At 40.5% G+C, this 20,172-nt stretch overlaps 1 long non-coding RNA gene across 1 annotated transcript in view; it reads left to right on the top strand.

Moving 5' to 3' along the window:
- DLX6-AS1 (DLX6 antisense RNA 1) overlaps positions 1-11,989 on the top strand; it is a 45,551-nt gene extending 33,562 nt beyond the window's left edge. Inside the window, exons 2-3 of the long non-coding RNA NR_015448.1 lie at positions 913-2,157; positions 11,386-11,989. This is a non-coding gene — a long non-coding RNA (DLX6 antisense RNA 1). The remainder of the gene's footprint in view (positions 1-912; positions 2,158-11,385) is intronic.
- Positions 11,990-20,172: the final 8,183 nt, after the last annotated feature.

Raw genomic sequence — 20,172 nt, 5'->3', positions numbered from 1 at the left:
GAGTACTTTGAAAAGTGTAGAAGGTTGGTTTTCTACATATGATGGTTAAAAATGTGGGTTTTGTAGTCAGTTTTATCTGGAATGGAATTCTGAATCTGTCCTTTATTAGTTGGAATTGACTTTCTTTTGTCCTTCTAGGCTCCAGTTTTCTAGTATCTAAAGGGGAGGTAATTACTGTATCTACTGTATAGGGTTGTTGTTAGAATTAAATGACCTATTTCGTGGTGAGTCCAGGCCATATATAGTAAGCGGCCAGCAAATGGCAGTCATGATTGTTTAATATCTGGAATAGAAGACTTTTTAAATAGAATCTCAGAATGTTTCTGTCCAACAAGTACACCTGTGTGGCCTGGATCTCACTTGTGGGCCATGATGGGAAGTGTGGCAGTAATGTCCCTGTACCTGGCTGGCCACATTCCTGGCCCCTCCCTTGAATGTCCAGCTTCTGGTTTAACTGGAAGTTGGAAGACAGAGTTAGAAGACTCTTGCACCATCTGAGATAGCCAGGGTTGGAGCCTGGTGGAAGGTGAGTGAGGCCTCGTTGGTGCCAACCCAAGTTGCCTTTGACCTTCCCCACTGCTCCTCCTACCCAACTTTCTGAGGGTTGTTTGGGGGGCAAATGTAGTCCCAGCCCTGCAGAGGTGATGGCTGGGCCCACTGCCTGGGGCTCTGCTGGGCTTCTGGCCCTGCCCTCAGACTTCTAGTGCTCTTCTGGCTCAACCAGAAGTTCAGGTGTGAGGTGGCCTAGTGTTGTGTGTTGGCCTGGGAGAGGGGTGGAGAACAACACTTGAGCAATTTATCTAGAGGCACCCTGGGGAATTTTTTTGTGTGTGTGTGAGTGGAATTTTACTTCATGCCATTTGTCCCTTTTACCTACTCTGAACTCTTCTTTTTCTTTTTCTTTTCTTTCAGACAGAGTCTTGCTCTATTGCCCAGGCTGCAACTGGTGTGATCTCGGCTCACTACAACCTCTGCCTCCTGGGTTCAAGCGATTCTCCTGCCTCAAGCTCCCAAGTAGCTGGGATTACAAGCATGCACCACCATGCCTGGCTAATTTTTGTATTTTTAGTGGAGACGGGGTTTCGCCACATTGGCCAGGGTGGTCTTGAACTCCTGACCTCAAGTGATCCACCTGCCTTGGCCTCCCAAAGTGCTGGGATTATAAGCATGAGCCACTGCACCCAGCCTTATACTGAACTTTCAATGGGTTCAATTCCACTAGGAGCATAAAGGCCACTGCATATGAGTTGTGGAAAGAAGAGATTAGAAGAAGGAAGAACTTGAGATGAGTTCCTCCCTTCAACATTCTGTCTCCTCCTACCTAGCATCTTCTTTCTTTTAGTCTTTCTAGAATGTCCATCTGTTTTTGGCCATTGCGGAGAGAGAAGCTGAGCTTTAAAGGAGTAGGAGCTTCAAAGGCGTAGGAGCTTCAAAATTCTTGTTTCTTCATGTTTGATCACCCTTCTAAACCTGTCTTCTGTTCCTTCTGCTATTCTTTTTTCTTAGAGCATAGGAAAGGGGAGCTTTTAAATTAATACTTAAAGCATGGAAAAAAAGAACTTGAGAAGAAAGTAAAACAAGGGAGATGAGGCTAGTAAAGTAAGGAAAATGAAGAGGAAGAGGAGGAAGGGTTAGCTTCTAAATTCCAAGTCAAATTGATATGGAACAGGCAAGCCGCTTGTCTTACTTAAACTTCAGAAAAGGATCTGCTGAAACTTGATAGAAATGGAAAGGGAAATCCTTGGGGTGGGGAACCTCCAAACATTAGTAATGATATTGAACAACTCAAAGTATTGAGGAAATCTGCAGGCTACATGCCTGAAGATTACCCATGCAGATAGACCAAAAGGATTAGAATTATCTGTTGATATTAGTAATATTTATTGACATCTAGCTAGTATTGGTAATTTTAAGTTTTAGATTAATTTCTTTGGTAATAGCTATGATATATTTTATAGACAAGAATTATATCTATAGGCTTGCTATCATAGGCTCTTTTAATCAGCATTAATTTAGTCTACTGATTTTTAGCACATTTGAATCATTCACTTATGCTAGGTAACTCATTGCAAAATAAAAAGATGATTCCTGTATGTATGGCAGCTATACATTAAGGAGGAGTCTACCAGAATATGAAAAAGTCAGCTGACCTAAATAGTAAGTGTTACAGGAGCAAATATCTTCCTTTATAGGATTATATCATTTATGTGAATTTGTATAATAAATTTTCTAAATACTGTTGTGGTGGCAAAAGACTCAGCTTTCAAAGAATTTCAGGTGTTTCATGTCTCCAGCAGAGGGGCAGCCACCCACAGCTGGGGGGTGGCCATAGTCATCTCCATGCCTCCAGTGCTAGCCCAGTGCTGGGCACATACAGGCTCCAGTGTTTCTCAAGTCAAACCAAACTGTGGTGGAAAATAGTGAGGGGGAAATTGTGAGGAAGGATTATTTATTTGTTTGTTTGTTTTAGCATCCTTATTACCTTGGTGGTAATCTGGTTTAGAAACCTACTCTGTTTTTTCTTCTTGAGACTAAGTGCCTAGAATATTTTAGTTAAAAAAATTTTTTTGGCACCATTTTTTGAGCAGTTATTACATGTCAGGCCCCTAAATATACTGGGTGCTCTGGACTCTTCACAGGTGAGATCATTTAATGCTCACACAGCCCAGTGATGTGGGAATCTTGACTCTGTTGTACACAGTGCATCACTCCACTGCCAGGGCTCAATACATCATAAACAATAGCAGCAACAGCTGTGAGAGGAATCCAAGGACAAATTTGTTAGAATAAAGCAAAACAGGGCTTTACCATATGGGAGATATATCTAAGATGGGTTTATTAGATGTAGGATGATTTTTCTTGTAACCTAAGGGCTTTCTGGAGGGAACCTGAAATCTTTTCACTATGCCCACATCATTGCCAGATGTGGATACAGTGAAATTGACCTTATCCTGTGTGTGTATCTCTGTGTGTATGCATGCATATGTGTGTGTGTGTGTGTGTGTGAAAGTGGCAAATTCTGGTTCATATACTGAGTTTCAATTTATCTTACATTCACTTTCTTATGCAAAAATTTCTTCATGAACCATGTAAATATGCAGTAGACCCCTGCCCCCCACCACCTTCCATATGTGAATAAATTCACGTTCACCAACATGTAAAACCAATGGCAGTAAAATAATGATAAAACATGGTTATTTCATAAGGGATCTGGTTGGTCTTGTATTCTGATAGTAGGATATAATGGAGTCCTCTACAAAACTTTAAAAATTTATAATGATTATTGACACCATTAATCAGAATTTGCCATGTGAACAATTCAGGGATCTGTTGTATTAAGCTGTCATGTGGTTGCAATCATACCTTTTAACTGCCATCAGAGGTAACTGTCAGCAACACCATATCTTCCCTCCAGTCTATTACAGCTTCAGTTCCCCAGGGCTCCATCCTGAGTCCAGGGCGATTTGTATGGTACACTAATGACCTGCTGATTGTCTGCACAAAAACGAAATCATACACTGTTCAGGCAACACAGTGATTCCACACAAAAGCAAAGGACTGTCTGGTGTCAAAATAATACCATACTCTTACTTTGATAAAGGTTTTTTAAACTGACTACAAGGTACTATTTGGTGGTAAAGTGTAGCAGAAATGTTTATTTAAATAACAAGTTGGCAGCAGGTAAATTTCAGGAGTGTGTGTATGTGTGAAAAGGTTGCTATTTAGGTAGCTATTTTTGTTCTGATATTTGGTTTTAATTTTGAAAGATATAGCAACTATTCAGATATTTCAGTAGGGTATTTATTTGTGTTGGTGATTATTAACATACATTTTAAATACCATGTGAAATTAAGGTTTTCTTAATAAGTTTTGAAAACATGTGATGAGCACTATATTGATGTATCTACCTGTTTTTCCATTGATTTATCGCTATGGTGTGTCTCAATAAGCAGATTTGAGTTTGTAGGGGTCAGATGAAGCCATGTCACTGCTCTATGTGTGTGTGCCTGCCCCATAGTGTCTCCCTTCTGAACCTAAAGTCACAGGAGGAACCTGAGCTGGCACTGGAAAACCATCCAAAATCCTACCCTGGCCCTCTTTTGTCCTGCTCCCGTACTCCTGTGGCTCTGCAGTGTGTGTGTGTGTCTCTGTGTGTGTTTATATCGAATGGGCTGATTTTCCCTAGAGTATTTGTTGCTGAGTCATTTATCTGTTGAATGATGGAGAATAATTCCTGCTGAGACTCTGACCCAGATCCCAAAGCTTTATTCCAAGACTTGGCTTGTTTGCTTGTTCATTTGTCTATTCTTTCATTCATTCAGTTGATTATTTTAAACCTGTTTTTATATACCAGCCACTATGCTGGGCACTGGGATGATAATGATGAAGAAGATTCAGTCTCGAATCTCAAGCCCCTTGTAGTCTTGTTGGAGCTAGTGATCAGTCAGTTGGCAGTTACCCAATGCTTAACAGACTGTCAAGGATCCCTTGTCAACTAAATTCTAAAAAGGTTTAAAGAGAATGTGAATTGTAACACACTGGAATATGAAGGCTACTCCACTAGACTGCAAGCTTGTTTAGGGCAAGAACTGAGTCTTGTCCCTAGAATTACTCATAGCTCTGAGCACAGGAAGTGCATAGAGTATATGCTCTGTTAAATGTAGATTATTATTATTATTATTATTATTATTTTTGAGACAGAGTCTTGCTGTTTCACCTGGCTGGAGTGCAGTGGCATGATCTCTGCTCAGTGCCACCTCTGCCTCCTAGGTTAAAGTGATTCTCATGCCTCAGCCTTCCGAGTAGCTGGGATTACAGGTGTACACCACCATGCCCGGCTAATTTTTGTATGTTTAGTAGATACAAGGTTTTGCTATGTTAGCCAGGCTGGTCTCGAACTCCTGGCTTCAAGTTATCTGCCCGCCTTGGCCTCCCAAAGTGCTGGCATTACAGGTGTGAGCCAGAGGAGGCCCAGCCTAAATGTTGAATTTTTCGAGATGCCTAAGAAAAGAATCTTCAGCTATAGACAGTAAATTGCAGACATTAAAAGTAGAGGCTTTGGTGTTAGTTATGCCCTTTGCCTCTACCCATAGTTTAACTTAGTAACCAGTGACAGCCCCACTGCATCCAATTTATTAATCCATTTCAAAAGATATGTGTTTAACACCTATGATATGTCAGGGCACTACTAGGTGGGTGTGAATGTGAACAAGATAGAAACAGGATCTTTCCTCATGTAGTTCCCAGTTAGGAGGTGTGGGGACCTCAGAACTGGTGGAGAGGATTTCAATAAAGTGTGTTAAATTTTATGAGAGAAGAGAAGCTGTTGCATTGACTGACTGAGGGGAGAGTTTAGGAGGTCAGGAAGAGTGCTTCAGGCAAAAGAGACAAAGTGTGCAAAGACCTGGAGGTGAGAATGAGCAGGGTGCATTCCGGGGACTTTAATATATTAAGAGTCATTGCATTGTCAGCTGCAATGAGAGGAGCTTGTGATAAGGCTGGGAAGGTGAGTAGGGACAGATCCTGAAGGGCCTTGTAGGGAATGCTAAGTGGTTTGGACTCCATCTTAAGATCAAAAGGAATTTTTTGACTGGATTTGAGCAGGGAAGCACCATGATGAAATTCGCATTTTAGAAAGATTACTTGAGTTACATAGTGAAAGGAGAATTGTAAAGGGTGAAATATCAGTTAGGAAGGCTTTTGCAGTAATCTGATTGGAAGATGGTCCATAGTCCAACAGTGTGGTATAGTAGAAAAATGCATAAGTTTGAGACTCCAACAAGCCTTGCCTCTAAAACTTATTATCTAAGTGACTTTTAGCAAATAACCAACTTTACATAGCCTCTACATTTTTTTTTCTGCAAAACAGAGTAACTTTGCATATCTAATGTGAGGCTTAGATGGAATACTGTATGTAAGATACCAGACATAACATGACATACTTCTAAATGACAGCCCTTTCACATTGTTGTCAATGATGTTACCTCCTCCTACCTCCTTATATTTCTTCCCTTTTAGTGTACAACTTAATGCTTTTCAATATGATATTTTGTTGCCATTATTGTTGGTCCTCTATCTCTGCACTGTGTGTGGCAGAGGCTTTTCCTTTTTGCTTCAGTCTTCTTGACTATTGCAGCTCTCCCAGAATGCTCTGAGCCATCACAAGGTTACTTCTGGAAAAGTCCATTCTGTTGAACGCTTTATTCTGATTTGGATGATGTTACAAGCAATGAAACCAAGCCTGGTGAGGGCTAAAATCCTTGCTCCCTTCCCTTCAGGGACTTGCTGGTAACTGCTTTCTCCTCCTCATGCCCTCGGAATGCAGCTTTGGTGTTATCTTTGGCACTCCTCAGGGCTGCTTCTTAAGCACTTGTGGAGAGAGAACTTTGTATATTTTACAGATTAGACCTTATTTTCACTCTGAGAATATTCCAGAATCCTGTCATATTTTCCTTTCTGACATCTCTAAGACTCATCTTTGCCTGTGAGTTTCCAATCACTAAAATCCTTTCCCATATTTTGGTCTTCTTTTCCTTCTACTCCTTATAAATGCCTCCATTGTGGTCTCTATTCTTGAGTTCAGTCTCTGTTAAAGCAATCTTCTTGGTGCCTTCATTACAACATCTTTTTAAAATGCCTTCACTGGTTTCTCTCATCTGCATTAAATCTGGACATTAGGGACCTTCACTGTTCTTCATTGGTTGATTGTTTTTTTCCCTGCCGGCTTTCCATATTTCTTCTTAATTTCTTAATACCTGAACTCTTTATGTGTTTTCTTTATTTCCCTCATTCACTTTTGTTTTCCTAGGCAGTTTTAGAGCTGTCTCTTCTCCAGCCAAGAACATTTTCTTTCCCTTTCATATGCCAAACCCAGCCTCTAACAAGTTGTATCCTGTAACCCTTCTCTATTTCTCTCATAGTGCTCTTCCTCACATTTGCTAATGTCTCCCTCTTCCTTATGATAGTGTTTTTTTTAAAAAAAAAAATCAAGGGACTACCAGTATAGCTATCTAATAGAGTATATGTGTGCCCCCTTTTGATACAATCACATCTATTGTCTATCAGGGAAGATCTTTGCTATTAGTTGTTGACTTGAGTACATGCTCTTGCCTCCATTGCTACTACCTTAGTTTGGGGCTGATAATTACAGTTACCTCCCAGTTGGTCTCACTGCCTTGGCTATCTTTCCTGGTTATTCTACCTTCACATCGTTAGAGGTGTCTTTGTGATCTGGTCCCTTTCCCTTCTTAAAACAGAACAGCAAAGCTCTGGCTTTCCCTAGCCTAGAAAATAAAGTTCTGCTTCCTTAGGTGTGCGTCAAGAGTCTTCAGACCCTGGCTCCTCCTCACTGTTCTTGACTCACCCTGTCACTTTTCACCCCAAATTCTAAATCCCAGTCACATAGAACTGCTTGAGGAGGCAATTTACTATGTGTTGAAGTCAAGAGTGTTCTGCTACAGACCAATGTAGTCTGCAGAATTCTTTACTATCTTTTAAAAATGAAAAAGATTTTCTGTAAAGATCTGTCTTTCTGGCTTTATCTCAGAAAATATGGCAACACTGTACTGCACACCCACCCAGAGGTGGAGGGTTACAGTGGAATGGGGAAGCCCTGTTGGGTGAAGTGGCTCTCTCTCCAATTTGCCATAGTTTCTGCACTCGTGTTTGCATCCTCAACATTGAGGCAAAGCATCATTTGCCATTTATCACTGATCTTGTGCTTTGTTTTTTCCCCTAGTATTAGGAGAAAATTGTACCACATGTCTATAGATGAATCAAAGATGAGTCAATACTGCTTTGTATTTCAAGGTATGCTATATGGGGCCCACTTGACACTATCATTGTCCTGCTCCTGCAGACATCTGAGTTGGATCTCTGACTGAGCAGCTTAGCACTAGGGTCTGTGTTTAAGTTCTGGCTCCATCACTTATTAGCTGTGTGGTTTGGGGCAATTTACTTAAACATTCTCTGCCTTAGTTTTCACATCTATAAATCGAGGATGATTTCTGGAAAGCGCTCAATACATCTCAGCAACATTATTGCCACCATTATTATTATTCTACTTTCCGCAAATCTAATGATAAGAATGACAGATCCATGAGGGACATGGTTTGGGGCAAGGTTTGGGGCAGGGGTCTTTTGGTGCCTATTAAGCCACATCTCCCTAGCTATCAGTTTTGCCACTTACTAGCTGTGGACTGGTCAAGTTATTTAACTTCACTATGGCTTCGTGTTGTCATATTTTAAAATGTTAGTGATAACAATATCATCATAATAATATCCACATCTTTGGTAATGATGTCTTATCTGAGATAACCATGTACTGAGCCAACCATGTACTGTGTGTAATGAATGTCTGTCTGCCACATAATAAGTACAAGTGAATGGTAGTTATTGTCATTGGCTGCCCTGCCTCTTGCCCAGGGGTCATCACCCAGTAGTTGTGAGGGCCCAGGGAGCCAGGTGACCCACCTGTATGTTTTATGTGTTACCTATGCATGGGCTTTTCAAAAATTGAGATATAATTCATATACCATAAAATTCACCCTCTTAAAGCATACAATCCAGTGGTTTTTCAGTATAGTCAGAAAGTTGTGCAGTCATTACCGCTAATTCCAGAATGTCTTCATCACCTCCAAAAGGAAACTCCATACCCATTAGCAGTTGTTCCCCATTCCACTTCCCTCAGCCCTCTACAACCACTAATCTATTTTCTATCTGTATGGATTTGCCTATTCTAGACATTCAATATAAATGGTATAAATTGAATCATATGATACATGGCTGGACATGGGCTTTTTTTTTTCCTGTGTGTTTTCCTGAGGAGTAAAGCTGCACCCTTTTCCAGAAAACAGATTTCTGCTGGGAACATGAAGGAGGCCCTAAGTAGGAAGTTTCAAGTAGGAAGACAGCATAGACCATGACTGACCTAAGAGGAACAAAACCAAACAGACTTAGATTCTAGGGGCCAATGTGAGTAAGTTAAGAATTTTGAGGAGCAGCAAACCATTAATATAAAGAAGGAACCAAGATAGATTCCCTTAAATTCTTTGCAGCCTGACCCTCAACACACTGTGAGAATCTCAAATGTCCACCTATGGACTGCCTACCTTAGATTTACCTCACAGCTGGCAAAAAAGACACATTCTGGGCTCTTCCTCAGGCTTACTGAATCAGAATCCCCAGGGTGGGGGTTGAGGAACCAGGAAAGATGGTTCTGCCAGGAAGTGGATTTGGAAATTGTTGAGTTACATCGAGCAAGCTTATATGACACAGATATGGATCTGTGTTTTGTTTCATCCTCAACAACACTGCTCTGTAACGTGGGTTCTTTTTCAGTGTACGTGTCTGATCTTCTTGGTAGAGTTTTTGCAACTAGGGCTTACTTTTCTTTGCCCATCTTAGCCCCCCTGCACAGTCTTGTACAAAGTAGGGGCTCAGCACATATTGGGAGATTGGTTACACAAGAGGCTTGAAGGCATCACTTGGATATTGCCAGGACCAAAGCCACTAAGGTCAACAGGTCTAAGAGGAGACCTTTCTGTCCCATTCTAAGCATTCTTTGTTTGAGATTTCAAGGCTGGTGTTTGTTTTCAGGGCTCTGACTTGTGACCCAGTGGTCAGGAGCCCTTTGATGTATGGGTTCCAGAGGATGTCCCCATAGCAGTCCCTTCATAGGGACCTCTCAGCCCTCTGTGCAGTGCTGGTAGGTAGAGGGGTGACCAAGTGTAGGGGTGGTTTCTATACCTGGAAGACCCCATGGAGCTTGTTAACATGTAGATAACTGTGCCTCAACCCGGACCCACTGAATCAAATTGCTGTCCAGGAAGGGGAAATTGCTACCCAGATACTACCCAAATACTACTCTAGAGTTTGAGGAATATGATCTTCTGCCTGTGTCTGGAGCACAGTGTGTTATGCTCATGGGGATTTACCTGGATAGGGCTGTGGACTGGGTCTTGGGAGACCTGGGCTCAGTCCTGGTTCTACCCTTTAGTTAGTCTCTACAGGACACTGTGCAAGCCACTCACCTTTCACTTTGCTTCTTTGTAAAGTGAAAGATTTGGACTAGGGTAGACACCAGCAATGCAGACATGATCACTCATATCTGTAGGAGGCTTCTCTATAAATCCAGTCATCGGTTCTAAAGGACCCAGCTCTTCTGTGTGCTCTGAGGACGGATTTGTCTTCTAAGACTGGGGTTAGCAGCTGTTTAGTATCATTGGAGGCCAAGTTGCCTAAGCCCATGTTCGGAGGTTTGATGGTTGGTGTGGGATGGTGGTGACATTAAACAAGAAGCATGGGAAGGCCCTGCTCTTTCCTTATTCACTTGTCCCTTCCTTCTCTCTATTTTTTTTTCATATTACAGTAACTAAGAGTTTTATGTACACAAGCTCCATTTATAAATTGCAGATACCTCGTAGGAGTGTGAAAGTCACCAATTGTTATTTCTTTCTTTCTTTTTTTTTTTTTTTTTTGCACTGTCTTATGGTGCTGATAAAGTCAAATTAACCAGTTATTCATACCCTAGTATGAAATACCCAATTCTAGCCATTGGAAGACTTTCTGTTTAGCTACTATCTGTTGCATTAAAGAAATTAGAGTGGGTGGATGATGGCATATGGATGCTGGGCTCCTGGTTCCTGAGGAAGGGGACAGAGGGGCCCCCCTAAGTAGGGATGGCAGCCGAAGACAGCCATTGATTTGGTGGTTTTGCCAGTACTCTGATAATGGCGCTATCACCATCACTTTTGATGTTTTTGGTAGAAATTCCCTAAACTAGTGATGCTTCATTTAAACCATCTTTGGGTGAGATTATTATCATCCTATCTGATTCTGTTAAAGACTCTGGGTATCAATCATATTGATTGCCCAGGGACTGGCTAAGGCTTTGGTTACTATGCTTCTACCTTTTCATGGGAGCTTAACTCTCAGTTTGCCCCCAGATATTGTTATTTATTGAACTCTCACTTAGGTCGCATAATTGCTGTACCATTCAGGTCAGTGCTGTGCAATATCGTGGGGGAAGAAGCAATTTCTTTGCTCTTGATTCTTTGTGCTCTCTCTCCTTTTCCCCTAGTATATCCCTTCCTAGCCCATGTATTCTACATGCTTTATGCATGCAGATTTACTTGCATTTACTTGTATTTAGTTGCAATTATAGTTTTTCCTTTTTCTTTGGTACAACAAAATTAACGAAGGAACAGAGAATCCTTAGGCATAATTTGTGTGTTTCTGTAGTCTCTGCCCCATTGTCTGGAAAACCACAGACTTCATTTAGATGCCAATGAATCCGTCATCAGGCTTTGAGTAAACCATGCATTTACCAAGATCCTTACTTGAGCAGTGATTTAGCTTTTTAATCTTTTGTTTATAATTTTACAGTTGCTGAGACAAAGGAAAACCCACTCCCTTGGAGGAGCATGACCTTTTCCTGTAATTCTTCCCACTGCTGTTGTTGAGCTCCTTGGATCCTGGCTCCTGGACACCATCATCAAGAAGACTTTATGGATGGGCTGTCCACCCACTGAGAGAAGAGGAGCATCAGCTACAGTTTCTCTCTAGATTGCCTTCTTCATTTTGAGTAATGACTGTCAGCAGGGTCAGATTAAACACAAAACAACTGGACAATTGCTTGGAGGACTAAACTATAAGGGCACTAACATGTCAATAGTAGGCTAACACATCCATGGAAAATATATTTACCAGCTCTTCTCTCAGGGAGGATTCTGTGTGGGGTTGGAAGTAATGATTTGTTAAATTCCTTAGGGGTAGAAAGTAGGGCATAATCAGAATATAGAGGAATATGCTGTTTGACTTCAGGGTTTCTGTTTTTCTTACTAGGATATATAAAACAGGGACTCTAGCTAGATTGTTTATGACCACAGAGGGTAGGCTGAGTGCTCCCATGATCTTCCTGCTTGGTTCTTGCCCATACAGAGGTCAGCCTTTCCTCTAATAAAGATTGAACAAGTAGTGGTCTGAGGGAGACACCAATTCATTACCCTACATGTCTCTTCTCTGCACTCCAGGGCTTTGATAATAAAGACACTGGCAGACTATCTATCTTCCATTTCTATAATGTGAGCCCTTAGGGAGTCTTCGTTCACTTGGGGGTGAGGGTCATTGCTCACAGAGTAGTTCAAGTCAAATGGAACTTGAACTCTTTGCCTATGGGCCTGGTGGTCAGACTCTGTGTTGAGTTCATTAGATTATTGGAGACACAAGGTAGAGCTGGATGCTTCAAAAATATTTGGCTAAAGGATGACATTGCTGGTTATTTGTAGATAAAGCCATGATGGAACCTGCTTGGAATCATGAAATATGGAACTGGTGGTCATGTTTAAAAATACAACTAATAGTTAAGTACCTACTGGACACTGTAGAGACTTAGGGGCTAGACAGACATGGTTCCTGCCCCCTTGGAGCTTACACTGTAGCTTCCCCTTAGGTATGAAGAACAGTGGCTACAACTAACAAATGGCCACAAAGATATAATTGAGCCAGTGTTCCAATTATTAGGGTAATTCCTATTTCCTTAATCATTCCTATTGACCATGTTCTATAAGCCTGCATTCTATAAATGGCGTATGACCATGGGCTGTTTCCCCCCAGCAAGTTGTACAAAGTTCTGTGGTACCAGGGAAAGGGCTTAAGGTTAGCAGGGCCTCTGCGGAAGGACATATGAAGTGACTTGGGTTAGGAAACAGGAAGGGATAGGATTCAAGAACAGCTATTGCTTCTGTTCTATATAGGAAACTGCAGCGTGAAAAATGCTGGGCTGGGAATTTTGAGACCTGGGTTTTAGTTTGTGTTCTAATACTAACAAGCTATGTGACTGTGGGTAAGTCATTTCACATTCCATTTGGATGCCTCTTGAGTGACTCCAGGCCTCTCCAGCTCTAAAACATTAAGATCAGGCCCTACGCTACAGCTGGCCAGTGTGTAATTCTTCTGTTTCTATGCTGTTAGGTCAAATAGATCTTCAATAGTTACTTGATTGTTATTACTTTTTTCTGAAGTGGGTGTTTTATCAATGTTTTAGGATACAGTGAGTCTGCTTCTCCCCTTTGGAGTTAGGAAGGTTGTAGGAATATACACTGTAGAGCATATGGGAGCTTTATCCCCTCCTTTTTTCCCCGCTACCTTTCTCCCTCTCCTTCCCTTCATCACATTTCTATTGAGCATATGCCATTGCCGTGTACCAGGTGTGTGCTAGGTTTGGAGATACAAGGTAAACCTGAGACTTTCCCAGTCTCCAGGAGACAAAACCCTAATTTCTTTCATCTGCTGTCTTTCTCTTTGGAAAGAATCAACGATATCCCAGGGGAATGTGCCCATGTCCCAGGGTAACCAACTACAGACAGATGCCCCATTCTACTCAAGCAACTTTTAGAGTGCCTTGAGATACACATCAGATAATTATGCAGGGCCAGGCATGGTGCTGCACACTTGTAATCACAGCACTTTGGGAGGCCGAGGCAGCAGATTGCTTGAGCCCAGGAATTCAAGTGTAGCCTAGGGAACATGGCAAAACCCCAGCTCTACAAAAAAATACACAAATTAGCTGCGTGTGGTGGCCTATGACAGGAGGCTGAGATGGGAGGATTGCTTGAGCCTGTGAGGTCGAGGCTGCAGTGAGCCGAGATCATGCCATTACTCCAGCCTGGGTGACATAGGGAGACCCTGTCTTGAAAAAAAAAAAAAAAAGATAATTATTCAGCCCTAGAGTCATTGTGAAAAGATCTATCTTCAGATATAAGGAAGAAACAATCTTTTATTTCTTAGGATAAATCTGTAGAAGGACCTCCAGACAGTGAAGGCCACTGACTACTTTATACTCTGTAAGCCATCCCTCCCTGGTAGGAAGGACTATTTCCAATCTTACAGAGTACCTCTCAGCAAATAGACGTTTTCACATATACTGTGATTCATACATCCCTATGGCTGGTGACCTCTTTAAAAAGGAAAGGAAAAAGCCTAATCAAACAAAAAGATGCTGCTAGTAATTCTTACCCTATTGTGAATCCTATATAAGCAAATTTGTATCTTTGTTTTTTCCTACATTAGCAGATCTATTTGATGTATATCTCTGAGTGCAGAAAATATTTTATGGAAAAATCAATATATGGAATTTCAAATTCAGAATTGCTGATACACACTATTTGGTTTCACAATTTTATCCTAGGAAATAGTATTAGAGATTTCAATTTCTGGCTTAAATGGTAGAATTAATTACTCTTAACTCTTAATTTTACTTCTGAGTTGAGGTCAAGGAACAGGCAGACACCTGCAGTTAACGTCTATACCTCTCCATGGCCAAGAGTTTTAATTTTCTCGTCTTCAATTTTGTAGATGTTCATCATTACTAAATGGATTGATTAGTATTTTATCTCCTCTCCTTGTCCTTACTTTCCCTCTGGTAAATATGTTATAAACAGTGTAAGGCTCCTAAGATAGAGTAGCTGGTAGGACTTAGAAGAGAAACAAAGGGCACTGATAACTCACATAAATGGAAAATTGGCTCTGGAATAACTGACAACATATTCAAGTATTTTAGTGCAGTGTCACTCTCATTAAGAAGAAGAGAATCAGTAAATCTATGTGACTCTAAACATTCTAATGAAAAAAGGAATATTCTGCCAATTATCTCACATTTCTAAATATCTGGATATTGGCCATTGTAAAGACAAAACATACAGATGATGGACTTGTCTTTCCACCTCTCATTTGCATGGTTTGGAGCATTGTACCTCCAGCCATAGACTCTAAGGCAATTTATATTTGCTTCCTCTTCCCTCTTGAGAGAAAACGAAAATCTTATTTTTCCAAGCAATTAAAACTCTTCTGCTTCAGCTAGGATGAAAGAATTAGGAGTTCTGTCTCCTTGTATCTAATTGCATGTTTCATCTTTCTTGTTTTAATGATTGACAGAAAACTAATAAACTGAGACATCTTTGAATCCAGGTTGAATGTACTCTCTTGGTGGCCCCATTGCTAATTTGTTTGACTATTTTGCAGGATTTCTTACTCTGTAATGGAAAGGTTTATTAAATATGAGGGGTGCAAAGCTTTCTGAATACTAATGAACTTATTTGCCAAAATTTAAATGTTCTTCTTGTCAGTGAATGTCTGTCTCTCTTAACAGGATCCAAATTGAATAATGAAGAAAATTAGACTCTATTGTACCCTCAGGAGAAATCGTGGTGAATCGTAATAGAATACAGAGGGGGAAAGGGGTCACATTTTAGAAAAAAAGAGTAGATAATTTGGATTATTAAAAAAGGGATTAACTCAGGAAAACTCTGTTCTTTTCAAAGAAACGTACTCATAGTCATTCAATGAGCAGGATTTCCCACTGCACAAGCATCTATACCTTTGGCCAGTGTAGAAAGAGAGTAAGGTCATAATCATATGGAGATGCATGCTAGGTTTCAGTAGTTACAATTTACTAATCTCATTCCCATATAAGGCCTTTATATGCCTGTAATGGAATGGGAAAATCAATAAGCTTTGAAAAGGAACACTATTCTTCAGAGAAGTTCAATGGGAGATAGTTGAGTTGGGGAAATTGCCCCAGTTCTTCCTTTAAGCATGAAATGAGGCTGTCCCTATGTATGTTTACTTCCATTGCCTTGGTGTTATCACTGATAAAGTCAATGATCATGATGCCTTTGCCTTGGCAGCACCTGGGGGGCACTGAAGGAACCAAGTAGCTGTACTCATGGCCAGGAAGGCAGGCTGCCAGAACTTCAGCAGCCACACAAGTGGCCAAACATGGTCAGGAACGAAAGTAGTGTGTGTATGGAGTGAAATGAAATGATGAGAGGAAAGTGAAGGATGATATAAAGATGGGGCTGTCCAAAGATGGGAGTTCATCCCTGTCCTGCACTTGAAATAGGAAGGAAAGAACTGGAGAAGGATTAGGTGAGGAAGGATCCTGAAATAGAGAAAATAAAGGGAAGACTGCATGCCTGCAGTGTTTGCTAAAATTAATTCGCCTGAGATTTCAGGAGGAGCAAAGAAAGATCAAGAGAAAGGGAAAACAGCCTCAAAGCCTGTGAAGGTTGAAAAACAAAATATAAACAAAAAATTTTTAAAGCTAAGATTATGCTCTTCTAAGAAAAGAGGCTGGACACTAACAGAAAGCTTGATGACAGCAGGATTTGTATTTAGCGGTTTATTTAGATCCCTAAGAAAAAAGGCTTATGTGACATAGATTCATAAGACACAAATGTGTCCTTGGCTGACCATACTAGGCTTCACTCCCAAAGGAGAAAAAGAATGGTCGGCGCATCTCAGATTAACACCAACCAACTGTGCAATATTTCATTTTAGAAAGCGTTTCCTTGTATTATCCATGATTAAATAAAAAGAGACCTAGTGTATTTGATTGCTTCTGTGGCAAGGCTTGAGAATTACAAACCTAGGTTTCCCTCTGGGAATGATCATTGGATTTTTAAAATTAAGTAAGTGGAAGGAGATTAAGATTTATTTCCATCATTTCAAATCATGATCTGCACCTTTGGAAACAAAAAGGAAGTTGGAAAGTGGGAAGGTGAGGTAGGTGTGCAAGAATGGGGAGAAAGATGCTGCAAGCCAAATAAGACTGTATAATTTCTGAGAAAATTAAATGAACAATAGAGTTTGAAGGATAAGTGGGTAATGAGGAATATGAGATAATAAGATATTAAAAAATAGCAAATTACTTGGGAAAGTGAGGATGAATGATGGTAGATAGTTAAGGGATTTGGGATGGCAAGGAAGGGAAGAGATGACTAGGGTGGGAAACAAAACATGATTAATGGCTGTAAAAGGGCAAGTTTGGACTCTCGATGGCATATCTTCCCAAACTTTGGAGAATGTGCAGAACTTAGTAATAAAGAAGGAAAAGATTAAAAGAGTTCATGGTTAACATGAAATTGTGAGGACAACAGAGGAAGCAATAAATGTCATTAGTCCTCAGGAATGAAAGCATTTCTAGAGAAACGTACTAGTCTATGTTCTTCATTTATGAGCAGAATAGTTTTCATCTACTTTTTAATAAAAGGTTAATGTATAAAATGAATGCTATTAAAGGAAAGAAAAGCTAAGCATTATCAGGAAAGTTGAAGAAAAGATTGCACCTAGAACAACTGAAGTAAACCAGCAAACCTATTTTACAGCCTTTTCTATAAAATTTTGAAATTCATCATCTTAATGAAAGAACTGGAAATAGTTTTTCCAAATAGAAATGGGTAATGATAAGGGAGGAAGTTTTAACAGTTAGAAATATTATAGAATGCATTCTTTTACATTTTTTCCCCATAAAAATGAGAGGAAGCTAAAAAACTTATGGGTATAGCTTTAAATACTTTGGATAAGAAGATTTATAGCAATGTAAGGTTATTGTTAGTAGTAGAAATAACATTAATTTTTTAAAAATATTAGTATTTGGAGCAGGACTAAATACCAGTGATCATCCTTTTTGGTTTCTTGTGTTTGTGTAGGAGATTCCTTTCAGACAGACAGTACCAGACCTCCTTAGGAGGGAAGCTGATAAAGTAATTTAGGTGGAAAGGTTTAATGAGATAATGATGCTAAGGCCAGTTAACATCTAATAAGAACATAATCATGAGGGATGATATTGTTGCTTATTAATTATAATGATGCAGAGGAAAGAGACAAGGTGGCACTCATTTAGCAGAGAGTACTCAGGAGTAAGACCGTTATCCCAAAGGGGAAGTGTTGCAGTCAGAGTTAGAAGTAGGTCAACATTTAGCAGAGTTTGAAATTTATGGCCGTTGGGTTATACTAGCAACCACAGAACTGAAGGCCAGGCAGGAGGTAACAGATGCCTTTCTGATGGTGGCCAGGGATGGAGTGGAGACTGCTGTGGTTGCTGGGCCATGCACGGAGGCAGACTCCAGGGTGAGTTTTGGGAGCTGTCTGCTTGCCTTAGATTCCACAGTGGTCATTCGTGGGCAGACAGGCAGGTGTCCAGAACTGGACTGGATGTGCTTCCAGTTCTGTGACCTTCCCCTCCACTCCACTGGGTCGGGTGAGTCAGACCCAAGGATAGCTATTCAGTCAGTGTTGGCGCCCAGCTTTGTTGAGGGAGCCCAGAAGATCCTTTGGTCCTGTTTTTAGAGGCGCAGACCTAACTGTTATCAGTTGAATTGCATTTATGATTCCTTGGTATTAGTCACTAACCACATTCCGCTTCCTGAATTCATTGCGGGTCTGGTCACCTCCATGTTTGCCTAGGATGGCAGAATTGTAGTATAAATTTATTGCAGATACACTAATGTCCATATTAGTCAGGTGGGCAGGAATAAAGAATTCGAGGAAGAAACAGCCATGTGAAAAAAACATGGAGCTTTTGGAAATCTTGTGACTCCTCAAGGGAGGCATAGAAGCTTGAAACAGAGGACTAGCCTGGGGAAGTTAATTTGGGGCTGGGTAAGGAATATAAAAACTCTACCCCTTATTCAGCACCTTTTCCCAATATGGGTCTCTCTCTGAGTCCTGGATCCTAGGCTATTGCTGACTCCTTTCTTGGGTCTTTGGATGCCACCTCTGCAATGATAGGGAGGGGTTTTCTATACCTTCTTGTATAGTTAATTTTATTAGCTGGATGAGGATCACTTCACAGGATTTTTCTTGTCCTATATAATGACCCCTGAAATAGAAAGGAAATAATATTCACATCATTAGCTTTTTAAAGCAAGTATATTTTATCTTATTAAATGTGTGGTTTTAGAGAGGCAAGAAGTGACAAGAAGATGCTAGACTAGAAGATGGAAGATTCAGCTCTAGTCCTGACTCATGCCTATCAGCTCTATCACCTTGGACAAGTCTCATGCCTTTCAGAGCCTCAGTTTCTACATTCATAAAATGAGGCATTATTGAGGGTAAACTTTATGATTAAAGAGCCATGTCCAGCTTTAAAATTATGTATTTATGCATATATGTTTTTACAGATCCTACATCTATTAAACTGTTATGGGAGAATTAATTGATAAACCCATATGAGAGCAGATATTTCCTTAAATCTGTAGTTCAAAGTGGACAGTTAAGGTCAGAGTTACCAAGGAACCAATGCCGTAACTATTGAGTACTAACTATGTGGCAGGTGCTTCACAGATGAGGAAATGAAGATTTTCCAAAGTTTAAATAAATAGTTCAAGATCATATAGTCAATAAGGAGTAAAGCCAATGCTCAAACCCAGGCATCCCTGAAACTGAAACTCATGACCTTCATCACCACTGTGTGCATCTCCCCCTTTTTTAGAACCCAAATGCTTATGTCCTATCACTTATGGCACCAGCCACCGGAAGTTTTCTTCAGTCATTATGGTTCTCAACTGGGATGCGGGGAGGGAGCAAGACAAGGAGTAGTTTGAAAACTCTTCCCAGTTGATTCTGATACACACATGTCTCTGCCTCTAAATTCAGCTGCTCTCTTTAAGACATAACTTGGCCAGAGTCATTCTAACATTATTACCCGAGAGGATCTTACTTGAGAATTTTCTGCTATGTGCAGGTTCATGTTTCTGTTTTTTCCTGCATGTCTTCAGAGCAGGTAGAGACATTGAACACAATTATTCCTCTTCCAAATGGGGAAGTGAAGCAAAGAGAATTGAATGATTCAATTTTACTCACCTACCCAGTGGTCACAGAACTGACATCTTCCATGCCTAAGACTAGCCGCCACAAGACATTGTCTTTCTAGCCAATTCAGTTAATAATGTATTTTATATAGAAGGAAAATTTCACTATTGTTTTTTGTTTTGGAGTTTTCCCAGTAAATGGATCATTTTAGTGACATTAGTTTTTTTTTTTTTTTTTCCTTTGAGATAGTCTTAGTTTGTCACCCAGGCTGGAGTGCAGTGGTGTGATCTCCATTCACTGCAAACTTCGCCTCCCTGGTTCAAGTGATTCTGTTGCCTCAGCTTCCCAAATAGCTGGGATTACAGCTTCCTGCCACCACTCCTGGCTAATTTTTGTATTTTTAGTAGAGATGGAGTTTCACCATGTTGGCCAGACTCAAACTCCTGACCTCAAGTGATTCGCCTACCTCGGCCTCCCAAAGTGCTGGGATTACAGGTGTGAGCCATCGTGCCTGGCCTCATTTGGTCTTAATTCACAATTCTTTACAGTCTCAAATGATTTCTTTTGGTCTTTTTTTTT

Source organism: Homo sapiens, chromosome 7 (genome assembly GCF_000001405.40).
Source record: "Homo sapiens chromosome 7, GRCh38.p14 Primary Assembly".
Taxonomy (NCBI): domain Eukaryota; kingdom Metazoa; phylum Chordata; class Mammalia; order Primates; family Hominidae; genus Homo; species Homo sapiens.
The sequence above is the reverse complement of the archived record's forward strand: the minus strand, read 5'-3'. Positions and strand labels throughout refer to the sequence as shown.